At 39.9% G+C, this 24002-nt stretch overlaps 2 protein-coding genes across 3 annotated transcripts in view, besides 3 other annotated features; one reads left to right on the forward strand and one right to left on the reverse strand.

Moving 5' to 3' along the window:
* Positions 47–764: an enhancer, noted in NCBI's record as "H3K27ac hESC enhancer chr16:21964563-21965280 (GRCh37/hg19 assembly coordinates)". NCBI's record gives its function as "activates a minimal SCP1, AML or CMV promoter by ChIP-STARR-seq in naive H9 embryonic stem cells {active_cell/tissue: H9 hESC(naive)}" and the evidence as "EXISTENCE:reporter gene assay evidence [ECO:0000049][PMID:30033119]".
* The window catches only part of UQCRC2 (ubiquinol-cytochrome c reductase core protein 2), a 30300-nt gene continuing 6463 nt past the window's right edge, over positions 166–24002 (forward strand). Inside the window, exons 1-12 of the mRNA NM_003366.4 lie at positions 166–261; positions 4040–4123; positions 4222–4371; positions 5340–5404; positions 9265–9321; positions 9566–9690; positions 12213–12310; positions 15433–15490; positions 18330–18425; positions 18728–18927; positions 20701–20781; positions 22972–23048. Coding sequence (NP_003357.2) covers positions 229–261; positions 4040–4123; positions 4222–4371; positions 5340–5404; positions 9265–9321; positions 9566–9690; positions 12213–12310; positions 15433–15490; positions 18330–18425; positions 18728–18927; positions 20701–20781; positions 22972–23048 — 1124 coding nt within the window. The 5' untranslated portion in view covers positions 166–228. The remainder of the gene's footprint in view (positions 262–4039; positions 4124–4221; positions 4372–5339; positions 5405–9264; positions 9322–9565; positions 9691–12212; positions 12311–15432; positions 15491–18329; positions 18426–18727; positions 18928–20700; positions 20782–22971; positions 23049–24002) is intronic.
* Positions 279–448: an enhancer, noted in NCBI's record as "active region_10563". NCBI's record gives its function as "activates an Ori minimal core promoter by ATAC-STARR-seq in GM12878 lymphoblastoid cells {active_cell/tissue: GM12878}" and the evidence as "EXISTENCE:reporter gene assay evidence [ECO:0000049][PMID:35858748]".
* Positions 459–508: an enhancer, noted in NCBI's record as "active region_10564". NCBI's record gives its function as "activates an Ori minimal core promoter by ATAC-STARR-seq in GM12878 lymphoblastoid cells {active_cell/tissue: GM12878}" and the evidence as "EXISTENCE:reporter gene assay evidence [ECO:0000049][PMID:35858748]".
* The window catches only part of PDZD9 (PDZ domain containing 9), a 43577-nt gene continuing 23919 nt past the window's right edge, over positions 4345–24002 (reverse strand). For both annotated transcript variants that reach the window (XM_017023109.2, XM_047433888.1), the window contains exon 4: positions 4345–4422. In XM_017023109.2, coding sequence (XP_016878598.1) covers positions 4390–4422 — 33 coding nt within the window. In that variant the 3' untranslated portion in view covers positions 4345–4389. The remainder of the gene's footprint in view (positions 4423–24002) is intronic.

Below are 24002 nucleotides of genomic sequence, written 5' to 3' on the forward strand. Positions count from 1 at the left end.
CTGCATATATTTACTTGGGAAATTGTGCGTCTCCCTATTCTGAGTCTTGGAGGAATTGGACTGGTCCAACCTTATAAAGAGAGCAGTAGAGCGCGGCAGTATAGAGAGTACCTCACGAAGGGGACGTGGGAAAGTGTTAGCGGGGAACGCTGGGAAACTCCCGGCCTCCGCCACCATCTTGCTTTCCTTTAATCCGGCAGTGACCGTGTGTCAGAACAATCTTGAATCATGAAGCTACTAACCAGAGCCGGCTCTTTCTCGGTGAGCTCAGGTGGCGGGTTTGGGAAAGGGCTGGGGAGCAGTGTGTCGACAAGGTGATACGAGGCGGAGGTGTCTGGTCTGGGGTCTGGGCCTTGGGATTCGGTCTGCCCTTCAGCTGAACCCTGCGGGCCAAGTGGGCTGCAGACTGGGTCAGGCTTTGGAGGCCCAGCTCATGCTGTGAGCACAAGAGACCTAACACCGGGAAACCTGAAGAGAGGGGCAGGACGTGAGAGCGGAGTTGAAGCGAGTCCTTGGAGAGACTTCTGAAGGTCACTCCGGTACTCAAGTGCTGGAGAAAGAGACCGTGAAACCCAGGGGGAGCGGGAGGACGGCGCACTTAGCCCCCCACCTTCACTTTATCCGCTGCAGCCTCTGCTCCTTGGTTTATCACGGAGCGTCAGTTTCCCCAGCGAATAAAAGTATAAGAAAGGAGCTAATGCAGATAGAACACTTATTACAGTACCTGGAACTTCATTGTTAAATACTATGGTGTCTTAGTAGTCTAACGTTGCTTTTCTTGATCGTATGTTAGACGGTTCCTCCAAGACGTCTCTGTTTGTCCTCAAAAGCTCCTTAATTAAGTTTCCCCTTCAAGCCTAAATTAAACATAGCTGTCACTTGGGGAAAACTCACACATCAGGGTTATATCACTGTGGGACAGTGGTTATTAAGAGGGGTAAGGGGGAACACTTAAAAAATCATAGCGAGGGACAGAATGCCCCCAGGGAACCGGTGGCGATGTTTGGAGACATATTTAGTTGCAACAACTTGTAAGGAGGGTGCTATTGGCATGGAGAGGCCAGGGATGCTGCTAAACTTCGCCTTACAGCAAAGAATTATCTAGCCCCAAGTGCCAGTAGTAGTACCTGTGTTGAGAAACCCCCCTAGATGGAGATGCAGAAGACCAGACCTGGGCATGGAATGTTCTTATGCTTTATGTTTACATAAATGTGCTGTGGGCTATATCGATTTAGGCTGTAATTGCATTAACCTTCCAGGTATACCTAGACACACCAGTGATTACCCTTGGAGGGAAGCACGGTTAGATTGGCAAAAGACCCCAACATTTCCTTCTCCATTCTATTTTGCAACAGAAAAAGCTCAGAGAAAACAGTTGGAGAGGCCCAAAGTAAACAAATTGCAGTAAACTTGAAAGCAATTATTTATGTGTCTAATTTTAGCACTTTATATAGGAGAATAAACTTAGATATATCTTGTTATTAGAACAAAATAATTTAGAAGATTGCATGACAGTTACTAGGATAATTTGCTGATTTGAATGGGACGATTAAGAAGCACATTACCGGCGGAGCGCGATGGCTCACACCTGTAATCCTAGCACTTTGGGAGTCAGAGGCAGGCGGATCACTTGAGATGAGGAGTTCGAAACCAGTCTGGCCATCATGGTGAAACCCCGTCTCTACTAAAAATACAAAAAAAAAAAAAATAGCCGGGCGTGGTGGTGGTGGGCGCCTCTAATCCCAGCTACTCAGGAGGCTGAGGCAGGAGAATCTCTTGAACCCAGGAGGCGGAGGTTGCAGTGAGCCGAGATCGCACCGCTGCACTCCAGCCTAGACGACAGAGCGAGACTCCGTCTCAAAAAAAAAAAAAAAAAAAAATTACCAACAAAGAGTTACTATTTGGGCACATTTGGTTGGAAAACACCTAAAATCTCACTTGGTAACGGAATTATAGATTATTCATATTTGAATTGCTATGCCCATATATCTTAAAAGTTTACTTTTTGGAAAATTATAGGCCAAAATTACAAAGAAGGTTAACTATACCATACCCAGCAAACTAAATTGATGACGATAAAGTAAAGCTAATTGTAATTCATAACTGAAAAGCAGTACTAAAAGCAAGTGATAACCAGCAGCCAACCTAGTACAGCACTAATGATGTACAACAAACAGCCTTCTGGACAGCACAGAGTGGAGGCATTGCAGACTGTGCAGGGATGTCCGGGAAACTCCAGTGAGGAGGTGTTCATTGGGTCTTGGGAGCACCAAATTTTATTCACTCATCATCTCCTCTAATAACCTCATGAACTTTAGTCATAATCAGAATGATTTGTATGGCATTGTATAACATTTGCCAAAACAAACTGAATAAAATGAATGCATTTTGGGTCCATTATCTAATATTTAATGGGACCCTTTCACCCTACCAGTAACTGCATTTTATATATTGAGAATCTGATGTGGATGAAGCCATTATTAATCTCAGGATGACATACATGTCATAAATGTTTTATTTAGTCAAAAAAACTAAGACCTTTGGTTGTGTGGTCTTAATACAGCACACAAGAGTGAAGATACAATGGAAAATATTGAGGGCTTGGAGGAAGTTGGTATATACTTTGTCTTTTTCTTTTTTTTTTCTTGAGACGGAGTTTTGCTCTTGTTGCCCAGGCTAGACTGCAATGGCACAATCTCGGCTCACTGCAACCTCCGCCTCCCGGATTCAAGTGATTCTCCTGCCTCAGCCTCCCCAGTAGCTGGGATTACAGGCATGCATCACCACGCCCCGCTTATTTTGTGTTTTTATTAGAGATGGGGTTTCTCCATGTTTGTCAGGCTAGTCTCGAGCTCCTGACCTCAGGTGATCCGCCCACCTTGGCCTCCCAAAGTGCTGGGATTACAGGCGTGAGCCACCGCACCCGGCTAGTTTGTCTTTTTTAAAGGTTACTAAGATGATTAAGGAGATGAAACCATTTCAATTGGAAATTAGACTGAACGGATGACATTCATTGGGCAGATAAAAGAAGCAAGAAGCTGAAACCTATAAAAGGTTGTGGACACAGGCCAGGTGTGGTGGCTCCCACCTGTAATTCTAGCACTTTGTGAGGCCGAGGCGGGTGGATTGCCTGAGCTCAGGAGTTTGAGACCAGCCTGAGCTATGGGGTGAAACGCCATCTCTACTAAAATACAAAAAATTAGCCAGGCGTGGCAGCATGTACCTGTAATCCCAGCTACTTGGGAGGCTGAGACAGGAGAATCGCTTGAATCCAGGAGGCAGACATTGCAATGACCCGAGATCGCACTGTTGCACTCCAGCGTGGGACACAGAGCACGACTCCAACTCAACAAAAAAGGTTGTGGATGGGGTGATCTGACACTTTTTCAAAAAATGCCAAAGCTTTAGAACTACACAGAACCATGAAACTTTTATAAGGTAACTGAAAGATAAGAAAATACAGTGATTCTTTACATCATTTAAAAAATAAGCATCAAGAACTCTATAAATCACTAATAAATAGAGGTTTAAGAATGGCTTGGGTAAACTGGTGGGTTAGTAAGTCCATAATAAGTTATGCAGCTAGGCGGGGTGCAGTGGCTCACGCCTGTAATTCCAACACTTTGGGAGACCAAGGTGGGCAGATCACTTAAGATCAGGAGTTCAAGACCAGCTTGGCCAACACAGTGAAACCCCATCTCTACTAAAAAATACAAAACAAAAACTAGCTGGACATGGTGGCACGCACCTGTAATTCCAGCTATTTGGGAGGCTAAGGCAGGAGAATGGCTTGAACCCAGGAGGTAGAGGTTGCAGTGAGCTGAGATTGCGCCACTGCACTCCAGCCTGAGCGACAGAGAGACACTCTGTCTCAAAAAAAAAAAAAAAATGTTATGCAGGTAAATCCTCCCATGGAGGTGGTTATTGCTCCTTCCACCCCCGAACACCCTCTGTCGCTTGGGTACCCTAAGATACCATGCTTTTATATAAAGCACTGTTCTTGTGAGAAATACGTGTAACCTGTGTTTTTTATGTTTAGAGATTTTATTCCCTCAAAGTTGCCCCCAAAGTTAAAGCCACAGCTGCGCCTGCAGGAGCACCGCCACAACCTCAGGACCTTGAGGTTAGTCCCACTAACTTGCTCGCTGGAAGCTATACATGCCTTACTCTCCTTGGTAATACGAAGACATTCATTATATCTCTACTTTATTTTAAATACAGTTTACCAAGTTACCAAATGGCTTGGTGATTGCTTCTTTGGAAAACTATTCTCCTGTATCAAGAATTGGTTTGTTCATTAAAGCAGGCAGTAGATATGAGGACTTCAGCAATTTAGGAACCACCCATTTGCTGCGTCTTACATCCAGTCTGGTGAGTATCTTCACTTCCTCAAGTGTTTGGAAATGCTGTGGTATCTTGGTCCTGTGAAAAAGAAAAACTAAGATCAATGTCTTTATATTTTGATTCCTTGACCTGCCATAACAAATTACCACGGACTGGGTAGCTTAAACCAAATAAGTTTATCCTGTTACAGTTCTAGAGGCTAGAAGTCCAAGTCAAGGTGTCTAAGCCAAGCCAAGATATCAGCAGGGCTGTGATCCCTCTAAAGGTTCTAGGAAGGCACAAATCCTCCCCTGCCTGTTCCTAGCTTCCAGCAGTTGCCCACAACCCTTCATGTTCCTTGACCTGCAACTGCATCACTGCAGTCTCTGCCTTTGTTGTCACATGGCCTTCCTTCTGTCTGTGTCCACATTTCCTCCTGATAAGGATACCAGTTACATTAGATTTAGTGCCCACTATAATTCAATATGATGTCATCTTAAGTACTTAAATCTGCAGAGACCTTATTACCAAATAAAGTAACATGCAAATATTCTGGCTGGACATAAATTTGGGGGGGAACACTGTTAAACCCAGTACTGTCCCCTAATGTAAAATGAGAAACCACAAGATATTTGCCACAGAGAAGCACTAAATTAGTATCCATATGAATGTTGATGTTAGAGCATAAGAAATCAGTAAACAAATTTTTAACAGGAAGTGCCGCAAATTGAAAGAAAATTAACTCTTTTTTTCCCATATACAAGTCTCTTTCAGAATAGACTAATGAATCCAGTAAGCTTGTATTTGACAGTGGAAATTTTACATGAATGTACTTAATGTAAAAATGTATACTTAAGCTTTTTGTTGAGCCTTGTTTTATAATTCTTAACTAAAAAGGATGCAGGAATTTAGTAAAATTCTTTTTAAATCTGCTCACAACAGATTTTGATATAGTGTGATGTTTGGCAAACTTGGCATTGAAAAGCTACAAAGATAATCATTCTTTCTTTTTCAAGACGACAAAAGGAGCTTCATCTTTCAAGATAACCCGTGGAATTGAAGCAGTTGGTGGCAAATTAAGGTTTGTTAAATAAGTAATAGAAAATAGTGAAAATGCCAGAAAATATTCAATTTTAAGGGAACTTTTCTCTGTTATCAAGGAGGTTGAGGATTTCTTAAGCAACATAAGAAGGAAAAGACTGATGAATTTGAGTATATCAAACTGTAAAACATCTTTATGTCTTAAAGTAAAAATTTAAGTAACTGTCTGGGAGTAGATATCTGCAATATATAGGCATACCTCAGAGATGTTGCAGGTTCTGTTCCAGACCACCACAATGAAGGGAATATTGCAGCAAAGCAAGTCATAGGAATTTTGTGGTTTCCCAGTGCATATAAAAGTTATGTTTACACTATACTGTGGTCTACTAAGTGTACAATGACATTTTGTCTTGGAAAAAAAGTACATAACCTTAATTTTAAAATATTTTATTGCTTTAAAAATGTTAACAGTTATCTGAATCTTCAGCAAGTCATAATCTTTGCTGGTGGAGGGTCTTGCCTCCACGTTAATGGCTGATGACTGATCAAGGTGGTGGTTGCTGAAGGTGGTGGTGACTGATAATTTCTTAAAATCAGACAACAGTGAAGTTTGCTGCATTGATTGACTCTTCCTTTTGTGAAAGACTTCTCTGTAGCATGAGATGTTGTTTTTAGCCGTTTACCCACAGAACTTCTTTCAAAATTAGTCAGTCATCTCAAACCTTACCACTTTTTTATCAACCAAGATTATGTAATATTCTTTTTTATCATTTCGACAGTGTTCACAGCATCTTCAACCAGGAGCAGATTCTATCTCAAGAAACCACTTTGTTTGCTCATCCATAAGAAGCATCTCCTCATCTGTTCAAGCTTTATCATAAGATTGCAGCCATTCAGTCACATCTTCAGGCCCCACTTCTAGTTCTCTTGCTACTCCCACCATAGTTGCAGTTTCTTCCCCCTCTGAAGTCTTGCCTCTCAGAGTCATCCATAAGGGTTGGAATTGGCTTCTTCCAAACTCACGTTAATGTTGATACTTTGACATCCTCCCATGAGTCACAAATGTTCTTAATGGTGTCTAGAATGGTGAATTCTTTCCAGAAAGTTTTTTAATTTACTTTGCCCAGATCCATCAGCGTCTTCACTATCTGTGGTAGCTGTAGCCTTACAAAATGTATTTCTTAAATAATAAGACTTGAAAATAAAAATTACTCCTTGATCCATGGGGTGCAGAAGGGATGTTCTATTAGCAGGCATGAAAACAGTGTCAATCTCCTTGTACATCTGCATCAGAGCTCTTGGCATTGTTGCAGTAATAATTTGAAAGGAATCTTTTTTCTGAGCAATGGGCTTAAAATATTCAGTCAACCATGCTATAAACAGATGTACTATCATCCAGGCTTTTTTGTTCATTTACAGAGCATAGGCAGAGTAGATTTAGCATAATTCCTAAGGGCTCTAGGATTTTGAGAATGGTAAATGACCTCATCCTAAAGTCACCAGCTGCATTAGTCCCCAACAAGAGTCAGCTTGTCGTTTGAAGCTTTGACGCCAGGCATTGACTTCTCTAGCTACGAATGTCCTGGACGGCATCTTCCAATGTAAGGCTGTTTTGTCAGCATTGAAAATCTGTGGTTTAGTGTAGCCACCTTCATCGATGATCTTATGTAGATCTTCTGGATAACGTGCTGCAGCTTCTATATTAGCATTTGCTGCTTCACTGTGTACTATTATATTAAGAAGATGGCTTCTTTCCTTAAAGCTCATGAACTAACCACGGCTAGCTTCAGACTTTTCTTCTGCATCTCACCTCTCTCAGCCTTCATATAATTGAAGAGAGTTAGGGCATTGCTCTGGATTAAGCTTTGACTTAAGGGAATACAGTTTGATCTAATCCAGACCAGTAAAACTCTGTATTATCAGCAATAAGTCTGTCTTGCTTTCATATCATTTATGTGTTCAGTGGAGTAGCACTATTAGTTTTCTTCAAGAACTGCACTGGTGCAAGAGGCCTAGCTTTTGACCTGTATCCGTTTTTAACATGCCTTCCTGACTTCCTTAGAAGCTTAATCCTTTCTAGCTTCTGATTTAAAGTGAGAGACATGAGACTCTTCCTTTCACTTGTATACTTAGGGGCCATTGTCGGGTTATTCATTAGCTTAATTTCAATATTGTTGTGTCTCAGGAGTAGGAATATCCAAAGAGAGGGAGAAAGACTTGGGGAGCAGCTGGTCAGTGGAACACTCAGGACAGAAACAGCATTTCTTTTTTTTTAATTAATTTATATTAAAGACAGGGTCTTGCTCTGTTTCCCAGGCTGGAGTGGAGTGGTGCAGACATACCTTATTGCAGCCTTGAACTCCTGGGCCCAAGCGATTCTTCTCCCTCCGCTTCCCAAGTAGCTAGGACTATAGGCACATGACTCCATGCCTGGCTAATTTTTTATTTTTTGTACAAATGGAGGTCTCACTATGTTGCCCAGACTGGTCTTGAACTCCTGGCCTCAGGTGATCCTCTCACCTCAGCCCAGCATGCTGGGATTGCAGATGTGAGCCACTGCACCCAGCCCAGATTTTTTATATATTGTGTTGTCAGTGGTAAAGATGATAGAGAATGTCTCATTCTGCTGATAGGAGTATAAATTGATACAACCACTTAGGAAAGAATCAAGGAATATCTGGTAATATTGAAAAACCCCACAGTTTTTAATCACATTCACAAAGGTATTCTTTATAAAGACTGGAAACGATCTAAGTGTCCATCTTTAGGGAAATGGGTAAAGTATGACAGAGTCATGATGAGACCACTATACAGCCATTACGGAATGAACTAGATCCATACGTCAACATAGCACAACTGAAGGGCAAAATAGAGTGTGAACAAGCAAGTTTCAAGATTTCTTTAAGGTATTTTAATTTTTTAAGCAGAAAAATACTATGTAGTGCTTATGATTGTGGTTTCCAGAGTGGGAGAGAGTGAGGGAATTGGTCTTGGAAGGGTACGAAAAGATCTTCAACTTTATTTGCCATTTTAAAAAATTGTGGTCAAATGTATATAACATAAAATTTATATATATATATATATATATATATATATATATATATATATATTTTAGACAGTCTCGCTGTGTCGCCCAGGCTGGAGTGCAGTGGCATGATCTTGGCTCACTGTAACCTCCGCCTCTTGGGTTCAAGCGATTCTCCTGCCTCAGCCTCCGTGGTAGCTGGGATTACAGGCGTGCGCCACCATGCTTGGCTAATTTTTGTATTTTCAGTAGAGACCATGGTTTCACCCTGTTGGCCAGGCTGGTCTCAAACTCCTGACCTCAAGTGATCCGCCCACCTCGGCCTCCCAAAGTGCTGGGATTACAGGTGTGAGCCACTGCGCCCGGCCCAAATTTATCATTTTCTTAAGTGTGCAGTTAAGTGGCATTCAGCAACCATCACCAACATTCAGCTCCGGAACTTTTCTATCTTCTCCCACCTGAAATTCTGTACCTGTTAAACAATGGCTGCTCATTCTCCCCTCCCCTCAGCCTTTGGCAACTGCCATTCTCTTTTCAGTCTCTACAAATTTGACTACTCCAGGTACCTCATAAGTAGAATCATACAATATTTGTCCCTTTGTGACTGGCTTATTATCCTTAGCATAATGTCCTCAGGGTTCATCTGTGTTGTAACATGTGACCAGATTTCACTCCTTTTAAGGTTGAATTATTTGCTGGTTTTTAAAAAAATTTTGAATTTTAGTTGGTTAATATGTGGAGTTTTGTTATATTATTGTTCGCACCTTTTATACTTCAGAAATTTTCTTTCCAAAGGAATTGGTTGATAGAAGATTATAAGGGAAAGCTTACTATCCTGATTCAGATGATTTACTCTAGTTTATTTTCCGATTCAGTGTGACCGCAACAAGGGAAAACATGGCTTATACTGTGGAATGCCTGCGGGGTGATGTGTAAGTACCTGTGTGTGTTTAGGACTTCTGCTTTGAAAGAAATACTAAGCTGCTCACTTCTGGTCTTTGTAATGCGTCATTATGACCTCTGACTTCCATTTTGGATTATTGTTCATAAACTGCTCAAAAACACTGCTTACCACAAGACCTAAAGTTTCACATTGAGAGCATTACAGCTATGTAGAATCTCAAATGTTGGCTTTACATTTTTGACTCATAATTCTTATCTCGATGTCTTCTGTAGTGATATTCTAATGGAGTTCCTGCTCAATGTCACCACAGCACCAGAATTTCGTCGTTGGGAAGTAGCTGACCTTCAGCCTCAGCTAAAGATTGACAAAGCTGTGGCCTTTCAGAATCCGCAGACTCGTAAGTACATTTCCAGATCACATTTGATTCTAAGATACTGGGTTTTTTAGAAGATCAATTTATAGAAGAAAAAAAATTGCTGTCAAAATTTTTATTTTTATTTTTATTTATTTATTGTTTTGAGACAGAGTCTCACTCTGTCACCCAGGCTGGAGTGCAGTGGCACGATCTTGGCTCACTGCAACCTCCAGCTCCCGGGTTCAAGCAATTCTCCTGCCTCAGCCTCCTGAGCAGCTGGAATTATAGGTGTGCACCACCACACCTGGCTAATTTTTTGTATTTTTAGTAGAAACAGGGTTTTGCCATGTTGGTCAGACTGGAGTTCAGTCTTGAATTCCTGGCCTCAAGTGATCCACCCACCTCAGCCTCCCAAAGTGCTGGTGTTACAGGTGTGAGCCACCATGCCTGGCCAAATGTTTTACTCCTTGAATTTGAAAATATCTTTTTCAAAAATTTGTTATTTAGATTTATTATTCTTTTGTTTCTAAACATTTATAATCATTTTTCATGTTTGATGGTAAGTAAATTGTTTGTAAGATCCTAGAAGTTTTTCCTGTTTCCTTCCCAATGTTTTGTTTTTGTTTGTTTGTTTGTTTGTTTTTGAGACAGGGTGTTGCTTGTTGCCCAGGCTGGAGTGCAGTGGCACAATCTCACTGCAGCCTGAACCTTCTGGACTCAGGTGATCCTCCTACCTCAGCCTCCTGAGTAGCTGGGACTACAGGCACACACCACCGCACCCTGCTAATTTTTATTTTTATTTTTTTATAGAGATGAGGTCTCACTCTATTGCCCAGGCTGGTCTCGAACTCCTGGGCTGAAGTGATCCTCCCACCTCAGCTTCCCAAAGTGCTGGGATTACAGGCGTGAGCCACTGTGCCTGACCCCTAGTGATTTTTAAGAGTTGTTTTGCTTACCCCAAATCCTACACCAGTTTATTGCTGCTGCTATTATTGCTTACTATTGTATTGCTATTATTGTTTAGCCATCTCCTCTTTATTGAGTCTTTCCAAAGTAAGTAACTTAATTTTTTTAATAGGAATCTTTTTTGCATTCATATTTTATGTTTATATAATGTCTAATTATATAATCTTGACAAGTACAACTGGTAATACAAGTCTGTAAGCAAGCGCCGCTGACTCTTGGGAGTCATACAACTTCTGGTGGGAGCAGAAATGTGCAGGAAGAGCAGAAATAGCTCAACTCAGTGGTTCAGCATGGGACAGGCTCCCCTCCACATGCAGGCCTGGGGACTGATGTTATTTCATGATGATGCTTGGTGTCACAGAGGAGCATTATCTTTGTTGCTCAGGATTTCTACTGAAGAAATAGATAGAATAGTACAATTTTAGAAAAGATGACCTATGTGTCCAGAGTGGCTTCTTCCCCACTGGCGGCAGTGAGGCACCAGCCTGCATCTATTCTGCCTGAACAGTTACTGTGTAGTCTCCTGGCTGGTGTCAGCCTCCAGGTTTACGTCTTGAGTCCATCTCCCACACGGCCATTACAGTGATCCTTCTGACGTGAAAGTAAGCCTTCTTATTATCTATGGGATAAAGTCCAAACAGCATATACGTATATGGCCTTGCGTGATCTTACCCCAGCCCACTTCTCTTACTTTATGCTCTACCCTCTTCTCCTTCCAGCTGCAATTCCCATTTGAATCAAATTATTGTTATACTTTATGCCTTTGTTTTGTCTGCTTCCTGTGCCTAAAATGCTGTTCCCAAATGATTTCCCCTGGGAAACACCAGCTCATTCTGTAAGATGGATCCCACATATTACTTGTATTAATTGTTTTCCAATTCCCACTGCCCTTGCCTTGTACCTCTACTGCACTTTTGACACACTGCCGACATTGCACCCATAATACTTTATTTCACAGTTTTTCCTCTTAAAATTTGAGGGCAGGCATTGTATGTTCCACATCTCTGTATTTCTAGCACCTAGCACAGTGCCTCGCATAGGCAAGTTGCCAGGTAATGAGCAACTGAAGGAAATACTGCAGGCAAAAAGGCATTGAAGCAAGAAAGCAGGGAAAGCACCAAGCACCACAGAGGAGTAAGTCCCAGTGGAAGCTCCCATTGGTCCCCTGAAAGCTACCTGACAATCTCCTTATTACCTAGAGAGGAAACCTAGGAGTAAGTAAAATTCAGATTAAATGACTTGTCCAAGGTCACATGGCAAGATGGCGGCAGAACCATAACTAGATGGGGACTTCCCAAAACCCAGGCCAGTATACCTTCCAAGTGATACCAGCTAGGTTAAAGTTAGAAAAGTGGTTTAGGTGGACTCCAGTATATAGAAGCTGCTGCCATGTAATCTTTTTTATTTTTTTCTCAGCACATTCTACTGGCAGAAACTGGCAGTTACTAGAGGTTAAATAATAATAAATTTTAAGTCCTCTTAACATATGAATGCCAGAAGATGACCAAATTTGTATAGGCTTGTTGCTTTCTAGGTTTTAAAAATGTTGTCTTTACTGAAAGTGCATTTCCCTAAATGCTTCTTCACTTATCTCACAGATGTCATTGAAAATTTGCATGCAGCAGCTTACCGGAATGCCTTGGCTAATCCCTTGTATTGTCCTGACTATAGGATTGGAAAAGTGACATCAGAGGAGGTACCAATAAAACATATTTTGAAATGTGCTTGTTTTTCACATTAAATTGAACATCTCCCATTTCAGGTTTGTTTGTTAATTTTTCCTTTTATCTTCTAACTTTAAGAAATTCAGCGTGCTAGCTTTTTCATCCACCTGCTTTTTAACTAAAATTTTATCTGAACAATTTTTGTGTCTCCTTTAAGAAATGTTTTCATGACTAAAGGGACATGATCATTACAGAAAAATTAAAAAGTAAAATCAAACAAAATGAAGGGAAAGAAAACATCTCACATACCTAAAGGCACTCAGTGTTAATACCTGGTATATTTTCTTCTAAACCGTTTTCTGTGTGTATGTATCTTTTTTGTTTGTTTGTTTTAAATACGGGGTCTTGCTGTGTTGCCTAGGCTGGTCTTGAACTCTTAAGCTCAAGCAGTCCTTCTGCCTATGCCTCTCAAAGTGCTGGGATTACAGGCATGAGCCATTGCACCCAGCCTGTGTATCTTTTTTAAACAGTATTTAAATGTTTAAGTATCATAATAGGGGCTGGGCCCAGTGGCTCATGCGTGTAATCTCAGCACTTTGGGAGGCCAAGACAGAGGGATCACTTGAGGCCAGGAGTTCAAGACCAGCCTGGGCAACATAGCAAGACCCTGTCTCTACAAAAAAAAAATATATATATATGTGTGTGTGTATACATATATATAAAATAGGTCCTTTGACTAAAACTCTTTGGTCTCTCTGAATTTGTAAATAAGACTTGAGCCCACTTCCTTAGCTCCTGTTCCATCCTCGCTCACTCATTCACGTTCTTCAGCACACCAGCCTCCGTTTGCTGGCTATAGGGGTTTGTCACATGCCACAGCCATATGTGCATCTTAGAACTTTGTTTCCAAAACATGAAACATTGAATGCTAAATCTACAAGTGTAGATATGTGCGTATAATCTTAATTTCCTATTCCTACCACCCAGACCCAAAAACAAATTTTATCAAAAGACATTAAGAGAAAAATTTGTAATTATCAACACCTTCAAAGTATATCTGACTCAAAAATTCAAGGTTTTTATTCTCGTTTTATTCTTAGTTAGCTGTTACAGAAAACTAAACTGTATCCCTTGCTCTTTTTGACTTATCAATTAACAGTTTGATGCCTTTCATTCATATGGCACTTTTATTTAGAAATTTTAACTTACATCATCCAACTTGAACAGGCAGCCGTTTTCATAAGACTGGACTCTAATGAGTTTTGAAATTTTTCAGAAATCAAATTCACCCTCATGAAGATGTGTCATTAAGTTAGCTAAAACTTAGCAAAAGTTTATCTACAAGGATGGCTATTGTAATACTAGTTTATAATTGTGAAAAATTAGAAACAAGTTAATATCCAGCATTAGGGAACTAGTTAAATAACTTATAGAATGGAACAGTATTCAACCATTCAAAAATATTAGTTGATACATAAAACTCCACAGCATGTTGTCACATAAAGCAATTTATGGATTAGGACATACCAAAAGGTCCCTTTTTTTTAATAAAAGGTATGTATGTATGCATTATAGACAAATATCAAGATGTTAACTGTGATAACTTGGTTATCTCAAAGTTAATAGTATTTTTTAAATGTGTCCCTAGGCTAAAGGAAACTCTAAAGAAATTGGCGCTAGAATACTTGGAGCAATGGCAGCATCAATAGAAAAACATCAATAGAAAAAGAGTATGACTTTCCAAGGTTACTCCATAGGTACAGACACCATTCATTTTAGGGCACGGATTATGATAAATTGATTAAAAGTTCAGTTTCATTACTTTAGCCCAGTGATTCTCAAAACGTTATCACTTTCCTTCCTGAGGAGCCTTTCTAGCCATTTTTTTCTAAACCTCTTACTTTTAATACCACAGATAGAGTTTATGTGCTGTATATTTGTACTTTTTACATAGAAGTCGTAAGTTTTTTTTTTTTCTTAGTTACCCCAAACCAATTTTCACCCATCTGGAAAGGATAGCATTTCTGTTGAAAGTACATGTTTTAGCCCTACTTTTGTATATTAAGCCTAAGGTGGTAATATAAACCAGTGATAACCAAGTCTCACCAATCTTCAGATCGCCTGAGTGGTTGATTGGATGGATGGGTAGTTGGTCGGTTTTAAATAAGGATTCTAGGATTCCACATTTAATATTTTATATCAGTCTGTAGGGTAAGTCCCAAGAATGGGGGACAGTGACCGTTTTTGTTTTTCAAGCTGAGTAATTGTGATCTTACAGTTTCGACACCCTGGTATAGACAATGACTTCATGGTCAGAAAAGCTTTATAGAGATTGGCTTCAAAGATGGACGAGAAGGGTGTTGTGGTAAAACTCTGTTAGCCCTGTTATAGAATGTTAATAGTGCTTCATTACTACTTATATAAACACAAAAGAAACCTGACATACTACGTAAGCTACATTATAATAAAAATCATAGTCCACGTTTTCAAGTTTAGGCCAGTGTATGCTCTAATTTCTTTTTATTCCTTTTTTTTTTTTTTTTTTTGAGACAGAGTCTTGCTGTGTCGCCCAGGCCAGAGTGCAATGACACGATCTCAGCTCACTGCAACCTCTGCCTCCTGGATTCAAACAATTCTCGTGCCTCAGCCACCCATGTAGCTGGGATTACAGGCGTGCACCACCATGCCTGGCTAATTTTTGCATTTTTAGTAGAGTCAGGATTTCGCTGTGTTGCCCAGGCTGGTCTCAAACTCGTGGCCTCAAATGATCCGCCAGCCTTGGCCTCCCAGAGTGCTGGGATTACAGACATGAGCTACTGCACCCAGCCTCTTTTTATTCCTTTTATAAATAACAGCTTTGTTGAGATGTAATTCACCATACTATACAACCTATTTAAAGTGTACACAATTCAGTGGTTTTCATTATATTCACAGAGTTGTGCAACCATGACCACAATTAGGTTCTAGTTCTTTTAAGCAATAGTTTTTATAATAAAATCCCAGGGTAATTCACCTCAGTTAGTACCTTGTAGTTCATTACAGCAACTTATAAGGCCTTATAAGTATTTATTTTCTTCCAAACTGTACTTTTATGTTTTTACAGCTTTTTATATTTATGCTAATATAACCTAATAAGTGTTTTTAACTTCCTCAGTTACATTACTTCGTTCAGAACCATTTCACAAGTGCAAGAATGGCTTTGATTGGACTTGGTAAGTTTAGAGTATTGCCTGCCTGTCAGTTTGCTTCCTTAAGAGCAGTTCCTTAAACTGTAATTACGTGAACATAGGATTGAACAAAATTTGAAAACTTCGGCCTTCTATTTATGTCAGACAGGCAATATATCATAGGATTTTAATTGCTAGTCATTTGTTTTGGAAAGCAGAATCCAACATTTAAATTTGTAAACCACTGGCTTTAAATTCTTTACAGTATTTGTAAAACCTGTGACAAAGGTGAATTTCTCAAAGCAAAGAGCTTTTACAAACTTTTTTAAAAGGAAGTACAGCTTACTAGAAAAACAGGCAAAGGGCATGAACAGACAGTTCATGGGAGAAATATGTTTGTATATGTGTAGCCAACTATCTTTGTTTTAAATGATCAGCCTCACTAATAATTAAGAAAATTTTAATCTGTGATGTTGGCAAAATTAAAAGATGGACTCTGCCCAGAATTAACCAGGGTATGGAGAAATAGGCACTCTCACAAATTGTTAGTAGGAATATAAACTAGTACAACATTTTGGGAGATCTTTTTGAACATATCTGTTAAAATTCTAGGCTGGGCATGGTGGCTCATGCCTGTAATCCTAGCACTTTGGGAGGCTGAGGCGGGCGGATCACCTGAGGTCAGGAGTTCAAGACCAGCCTAGCCAACATGGCGAAACCCCGTCTCTACTAAAAATACAAAAATTAGTCGGGCATGGTGACACATGCCTGTAATCCCAGCTATCGGGGGGCTGAGGAGGAGAATCGCTTGAACCCAGGAGGCAGTGATTGCAGTGAGCTGAGATCGTGCCACTGCACTCCAGCAAGGGCGACAGAGTGAGACTCTGTCTCAAAAAAATACAATTCCAAATGTTTACACTCATAGACCCAGTGACTTTTAAGAATTTGTCTTACAGAAACATTAGGTCAAGTTTACAAAGTAGTTGCATGAGAATATCATTTGTAATATTTTTTGTTTTGTTTTGCAAATTACAGCTTAAGATATAATTTACATGCTATAAAATTCACCCTTTTGAAGTGAATAGTTCTGTGGTTTTTAACAGATTCAACTATTACCACTACCTAATTTCAGGGTGTGTTCATCATCCCCCCAAAAGCCCCATACCCATTAGCAGTCACTCCCCATTCTCATCTTCCCCCTGCCTGTGGCATCCACTAATCTACTTTGTTTTTGTTTTTTTTTTTAAAGAGATGGAGGTCTCATTCTGTTGCCCAAGCTGGAGCACAGTGGCACAATCATAGCTCACTGCCTTGAACTCCTAGGCTCAGGTGATCCTCCCACCTCAGCCTCCTAAGTAGCAATAATCTACTTTGTCTCTATAGATTTGACTATTCTGGACATTTCCTATAAATGGAGTCATACGATATGTGGCCTTTTGTAACTGGCTTTTCTTACTTAGCATAATGTTTTCAAGGTCCGTCCATATTGTAGCATGTGTCAATTCAATGTCTTATTCCCTTTTATGGCTCAAGAATACTCCATTACCACATTTTGTTTATTCATTGATTGGCATTTGGGTTGTTTCTACCTTTTGGCTGTCGTAAATATAAACATTCACGTGTACATTTTTCTTAGGAAACCTGTTTTTAGTTCTTTTGGTTATGTCTAAGAACAGAATTGCCAGGACATATGGTAACTCTGTTTAACCATTTGGGGAACTGCCAGACTGTTTTCCAAAGTAGCTGCACCATTTTACATTCCCACCAGCAATGCACAAAGGTTTTGATTTCTCCACATCCTCACCAACACTTATCGTCTGTCTTTCTGATTATGAACAACCTACTGGGTGGGAAGTGGTCATTGTAGTTTTGATTTGTATTTCCCTAATGACAAATGACATTGAACATATTTTCATGTGCTTTTTGTCCATTTGTATAACTTTTTTTGTTTGTTTGTTTTTTTGAGACAGAGGCTTGCTCTGTTGCCCAGGCTGGAGTGCAGTGGCGCAATCTCAGCTCACTGCAACCTCCACTTCCCAGGTTCAAGCAATTCTCCGGCCTCAGCCTCCCGAGTAGCTGGGATTACAGGTGCATGCCACCATTCCTGGCTAATTTTTGTAATTTTAATAGAGATGGGGTTTCACCATGTTGGCTGGACTGGTCTCGAACTCCTGAGCTCAGGTGATCCACTTGCCTCGGCCTCCCAAACTGTTGGGATTACAGATGTGAGCCACCGTGCCCAGTCAACTTTGGAGAAATGTCTATTCAAGTCTTTGCCCATTTTTAAGTTTTTTTTTTTAATTGTTGAGTTGTAAAGGTTCTTTATATATTTTGGTTACTCAAGCTGTTAGCAGATATATTATCTGCAAATATTTTCCTGCATTTCATGGGTCCTCTTTTTACTTTCTTGATACAGTGTTCTTTGATGGACAATGCAATGTTGTTTTAAGAGCTAACTATTAGAAACATGCTAGCGTCCATTAGGAGGGGATTGATCAAATAAATGGTGGTAGAGCCATAGAAAGGGATTCTTTATAACCATTAAATATTTGATGTAGACTACTCACTTAGAAATTTGTAAATTATGAAAGATAAGTTAGAAACAATATCAATAGAATGATACCATTTTAGAAATAAATTGAAGATAATATTAACTACACAGAAAATTCTAGATGAATAGTAATACTAAGTATATAGTAAATAGTTTAGTAATAGTAAACTGTAATTGGGTATCTCTGGGAGAGTGGCATTATGGCAGGAAGACTCTTATTTATTTTGTAGTGTTAGGATTTTACAATCGTATTTTTAAAACAAGGAAAAAATATTTTACGATTGTGTTTTAGTAATTGTGGTTCTAGCTTTGTTTTTGCTTCTGTTGAAACAGGTGTGAGTCATCCTGTTCTAAAGCAAGTTGCTGAACAGTTTCTCAACATGAGGGGTGGGCTTGGTTTATCTGGTGCAAAGGCCAACTACCGTGGAGGTAAGCATTTCATTCTATTAGGGTTAATTTATCAGAAGGGCGTTTCCCCACTAGAATAGCATATTGAGGTGGAATAGGCCTGAATATTTACTACTGAACAGTCTCGGCATAGAATTGGATGGCTTGGGTGTTGTATTTTGAGCATATGTTTTGTGTGTGTTTGGGGACAGGATGGCATGGGGAAAGCACCGAGCTGCAGAAAAGACTCGTGGGTTAATACTGTGTTGTAGGAAATACTGGAGAATGAAACCAATGGTGAACAAGCCATTTTCTTCTTCCCTCTATCCTTAATCTGGCCCCAGGTGAAATCCGAGAACAGAATGGAGACAGTCTTGTCCATGCTGCTTTTGTAGCAGAAAGTGCTGTCGCGGGAAGTGCAGAGGCAAATGCATTTAGTGTTCTTCAGCATGTCCTCGGTGCTGGGCCACATGTCAAGAGGGGCAGCAACACCACCAGCCATCTGCACCAGGCTGTTGCCAAGGCAACTCAGCAGCCATTTGATGTGAGTCTGAACAGTTGGTATCTCTCTTTTTGCTTTCAAAGGCTCAGTATTTAAGATATAATTCTGATAATCTACTCTTAAAATGTAAGACAAACACACAGAAAATCTTTGTACAATTGAAGAGATAGCCAGGCTTGATTTTAGTATCTTTGAAGGCCTATCAAAAACTCACTGGCTTTTCCACTTTGTCTATTACTTGTCATTAGTAATATAAAAAGAGGAATTGAATGCTTAGAAATAAAGGGAATCCACACATCCGTTCCCTTTAGAATAAAGTTGTAGATATTAAACTTTCCCCTAGATTCTAACTAGTCTTTTTTTCTAGATTTTCTTCTGTCCGCTTCTGTTCTTTTGGTTACTTCCTGAATCTCACTATTTGTTTTCCAACCAAGTGGACAAGATGAACACCAAGAAATTGTTTACAGACTCACTCATTCAGCTTGAGATTAAATTTGAAAAGAAAAATGAGAGGCTGGGCACAGTGGCTCACAACTAAAATCCCAGCACTCTGAGAGGCCGAGGTGGGCGGATCACTGGAGGTCAGGAGTTCGAGACCAGCCTGGCCAACGTGGTGAAACCCCCATCTCTCCTAATCCAATGAAGTAATTTAATAGAAATTCCTAGTTCAGAACTCAGCCAGAAATTTAGAGTATAAATAGGATGGCCTCAGAATTATAATTAAAGAAATTGAAGTCCAGGCCAGGCACAGTGGCTCACGCCTGTAATCCCAGCACTTTGGGAGGCCAAGTTGGGCGGATCACAAGGTCAGGAGATCAAGACCATCCTGGCTAACACAGTGAAACCCTGTCTCTACTAAAAATACAAAAATTGTCTGGGCGTGGTGGCGCACGCCTGTAGTCCCAGCTACTTGGGAGGCTGAGGCAGAAGAATCACTTGAACCCAGGAGGCGGAGGATTCAGTAAGCTGAGATCGTGCCACTGCACTCCAGCCTGGGTGACAGAGCAAGACTCTGTCTCAAAAATATATATAAATAAATAAATAAAAGAAATTGAAGTGCCTTCTTATGCTTTACGTGGACTGAGCCAATGGTTCTCCAAGTTTATTGTACATAAGAATTACCTGGAACACTTGTTAAAAATCTGGGCTTCCAGGCTGCATCCACAGGGACCTGAGTCAGTAGGTCCATTTTGGGAATCTGAAAGTTTGTATTTTTAATAAGAACTTAGATAATTTTTATGTAAATGGTCCACATAAACACTGCAAATCGGGTTCACCCTAGAGAGCTAAAAGCTCTGCTCAAACTAGATAACAATATCCCTGTTATTCAGAGGTTAAACTCTTGATAGCTTGGACATCTGGATAATGACCACTAAGCAGAAATTTTTCTCTAACTTTCTGACATGAGTGTATAAGAGAAATGAAAGTAAATTGGTGAAAAAGTCCCTACCAACAGCAGAGAGAAGAAACCTGGTCTGCCTAATGCCAAAGCCTATCTATATTATAATAATAATGTTTGCAGATTAGTGTTTGCATAAACCTTTAATCATCTAAAGCAGGTTAGAAAATACCCAGCATAAAGGAAAGGGAGCAGTCATTTTAGAAATATTTAAATGAAAAAACAAAGCCGTGATAGTTCTGAAAGAGGTAACCTATTTACAGAATACTTCAGTTCGTGACAGAACTGGCTAAGTAAAATATTAATCTATTTTGTTTATACCGTGAAGGTCCAAGTTTTTTCTAGGCAAACTTAAAGAAATCGTGCCCTGTTTTACTTGGTAGAATATCATACAGTAAAGTCTCATTATCTTTCAGGTTTCTGCATTTAATGCCAGTTACTCAGATTCTGGACTCTTTGGGATTTATACTATCTCCCAGGCCACAGCTGCTGGAGATGTAAGTTGCAAACTCACCAAACTTCTTTCATGAACAAGTTATTTCTCCCCCCCGCCATAAACATGTTTTCGGTTAAAATATGGAATGTTTGAATGCAGTGCAATGACTTATCAGAGCTCTGTATAGTATGATGTCATTGAAGCATTATCTGCTATAGGGAAATTTACACATGTATACTAATGCTTCCAGGAAAGAGGAGAGAATTGCCTCCTTCATGTTTTGGTTCTGGTTGGACAAGTTGCATTGAGTTGGCTCTGAGACATCTAAATTGAGAACCCAGGAGAGGGGAAGACCAGGAGGTTTATTTGCAAGTCTTCAGTGTAGAGATTGTGTTGAAATCAGGGATATGTGTGAATGATTGTAGGAAAAGAAAACTAAAGCTCAATTTCTGGGAAACAACACCATTTAAGGAGCAAGTGGCTAAGAAAAATGGCCCAGGTAAACAGAAAGAAAAAGAGAAGCTGATATATTTGAAGGATAGGAAAGAGAGTATGTTTAACACCATTTTGACCCACAGTGAAATAACATTCATTACCACTGAGAAGTCTGGTAGTTTCAGCAAGCTAGGACATCATGGGTGATCTTAACAGTTTTGACTAGAGTAGTGGAAATTGGGTAAAATGTGTAGTGATTAAGGAATGAATGACAAGTAAGAAATGAGAGGTTGGTGTGGGCTAGTGGAGCTTAGACATTCAAGGAGCAAGTTGTTTTAGGAGAGTTTACACTGAGAGATTAGGTTGAAAGAGACATACTGAGCAAAAAGATCGGAGCAGATATCGGAGATAGAAAATTATAAATGGCTCAAGTCTGAGAAAGGAATACTTGGGATCCAGCACACAAGTGGACCTTTTAGCCTTACAGACAGGCTAATATTGGAAGATATTGGGAAGATGGGGAAGTACCTCCTCAGTGAGACAGGAGGCTAAGTCATGTTTTGACAGACGTGAGAGGAAAGTTTAAAGAAAGTAGTGAAGTTTGGGACAGACAAATAGTGAGGTACACAAAAAGTGGGTATTCGCTGTAGTGTAGATGTATCCTTGAAATCAGCGACCACAAATTCATAGTACAGTCAGTCAGCACTGTCATGTAATTTTTCTTCAGTTGCATTCAGAAGCCTAATAGAGAAATGGAGGAGGTAGGTATTAGGGTTAATCCCAGGTTGGAATCCTGCAAAGTGGGCAGGTGAGAAGTATGAGGAGATAGCAAGGGAGTTGGGAGCATTGGCAAGAGTGATTAAAAGGATGATTCAGGGATCTAGGCTCAATAGAGAAGTGAAGCCAGAGGGGGCCTGATAAATTGAAAGACTGGACAAGTCAAGGAACTAGAGATCTTGATAAAGTGGAAGAATAAGGATAGTGAGATTAAAGACTGAGGTCGGGGTCTTAGAATTGAGGGCTTCAGAGGTATGCAAATTTAGGCTATGATCAGGTCTGGGGTGTGGCTCTGAAAATGGGCAGCTAAAATGAAGGGGAAACAGAGGTCCTAGAATTTAGGTGATCAGAGGGAAAAATAAGTAGCAGACCCAGCCAGCACTGGGATGGAGAAAATCATGGTCAGATTTATTTATTTATTCAACAAATATTTACCAAGTACCCACATCCCCGGAACTTTATTCTTTCTTTCTTTTTTTAAATACCATACAAGGATTCAGATTCCTTCTTGACCCTGGCTTACAAAGTATGGACAAGCCTTACAAATTGGCTGTGTATGGATTACTACTCTCTTCTTAGTGAATAGTAAGAGATAGCAGTATTAATGGCATGACACTGCAAGAGTCTGGGGAAGTTTTAAAGGTGCTTATTCTTTATGGGTGATTAGAAATCCATGTGTTTGGCCGGGTGTGGTGGCTCACACCTATAATCCCAACACTTTGGGAGGTTAAGGTGGGAGGATCACTTGAGCCCACACATCTCTACAAAAAAAGCTAAAAAATTAGCCAGGCCTGGTAGCATGCACCTGTAGTCCCAGCTTCTTGGGAGGCTGGGGCAGGAGGATTGTGTATAAACAGCTGCTTTATGAACATAGGAAGAATAAGGAACCCATAGTGATGACAGCATTCCGCATGGACACTGTGCTGTTTGTCTGGAACTAACCTTCCATCTGTGTTTTTGCCTCAGTAAAGAAGTGTGTCAGTGCTGCAGGAGACTCTGGTACTGACCACAGATGACCAACTTTTCTTATCTGTCCTAGGTTATCAAGGCTGCCTATAATCAAGTAAAAACAATAGCTCAAGGAAACCTTTCCAACACAGATGTCCAAGCTGCCAAGTAAGTCTCAGTATTAACTGTGTTTTATGTTTTTGTTATTTGAAAGTTGTATTCTTTTCAGATTATAACAATATTACAATCTATGCTCATAAGGACTGAGAAGTACAGAAAAGCGTAAAAAGGGAAACATACCCATATCCTACCACCTAAAGATATAATTGTTAACATTTTGGCCAGGCACAGTGGCTCACTAATCCCAGCACTTTGGGAGGCCAAGGCAGGTGGTTCATTTGAGACCAGGAGTTTGAGACCAGCTTGGGCAACATAGCAAGACCTCGTCTCCACCAAAATTAGAGAATAATTGTTAACATTTTTCTTAGTTTATTGATCATGCATTTTTAAACATAATTGTTAATATTGTATATATAGATGCTGCTTGACTTACACTGGGGTTACGTCCTGAGAAATGCGCATATCGAAAATGCATTTAATACCCTAATAACCCAGTCATCCAGCCAAACAAACATAAGTCAAACCATCATAAGTTAAGTTAGGGACCATCTGTATACTTTTTTATCTTATTTAAATAGCATCCTTATTATAGAAGTTTGAAAATTACAAATAAAAGACAAAAATGATCTCTGATTTCCCTAGCAATGATTCTGTTTCCATTGATTCAAATTACTAAAAATTTAAACAATATTCATTGGTGTGTCAAAATACACTTGTGCATTTTCTGCAGTTATAAAGATATCTTTGGGCTTAAAATATTTTTGTGTTTCGTATTACTTTCTTGGTGTAGATTCCCAACTAAGTTAAGAGTTATAAACATAACGAAAGACTCCATGTTAGAGTGTGTGTATGTGTGTATGTTTAAATAATACATTTGACTAGGCGCAGTTGCTCATACCTGTAATCCCAGGACTTTGGGAGGCTGGGGCAGGAGGATCACTTGAGGCCAGGAGTTCAACCAGCCTGGGTAATGTGGCAAGACACTGTCTTTACAAAAAGATA

This window comes from Homo sapiens, chromosome 16 (genome assembly GCF_000001405.40).
Source record: "Homo sapiens chromosome 16, GRCh38.p14 Primary Assembly".
Lineage (NCBI taxonomy): Eukaryota > Metazoa > Chordata > Mammalia > Primates > Hominidae > Homo > Homo sapiens.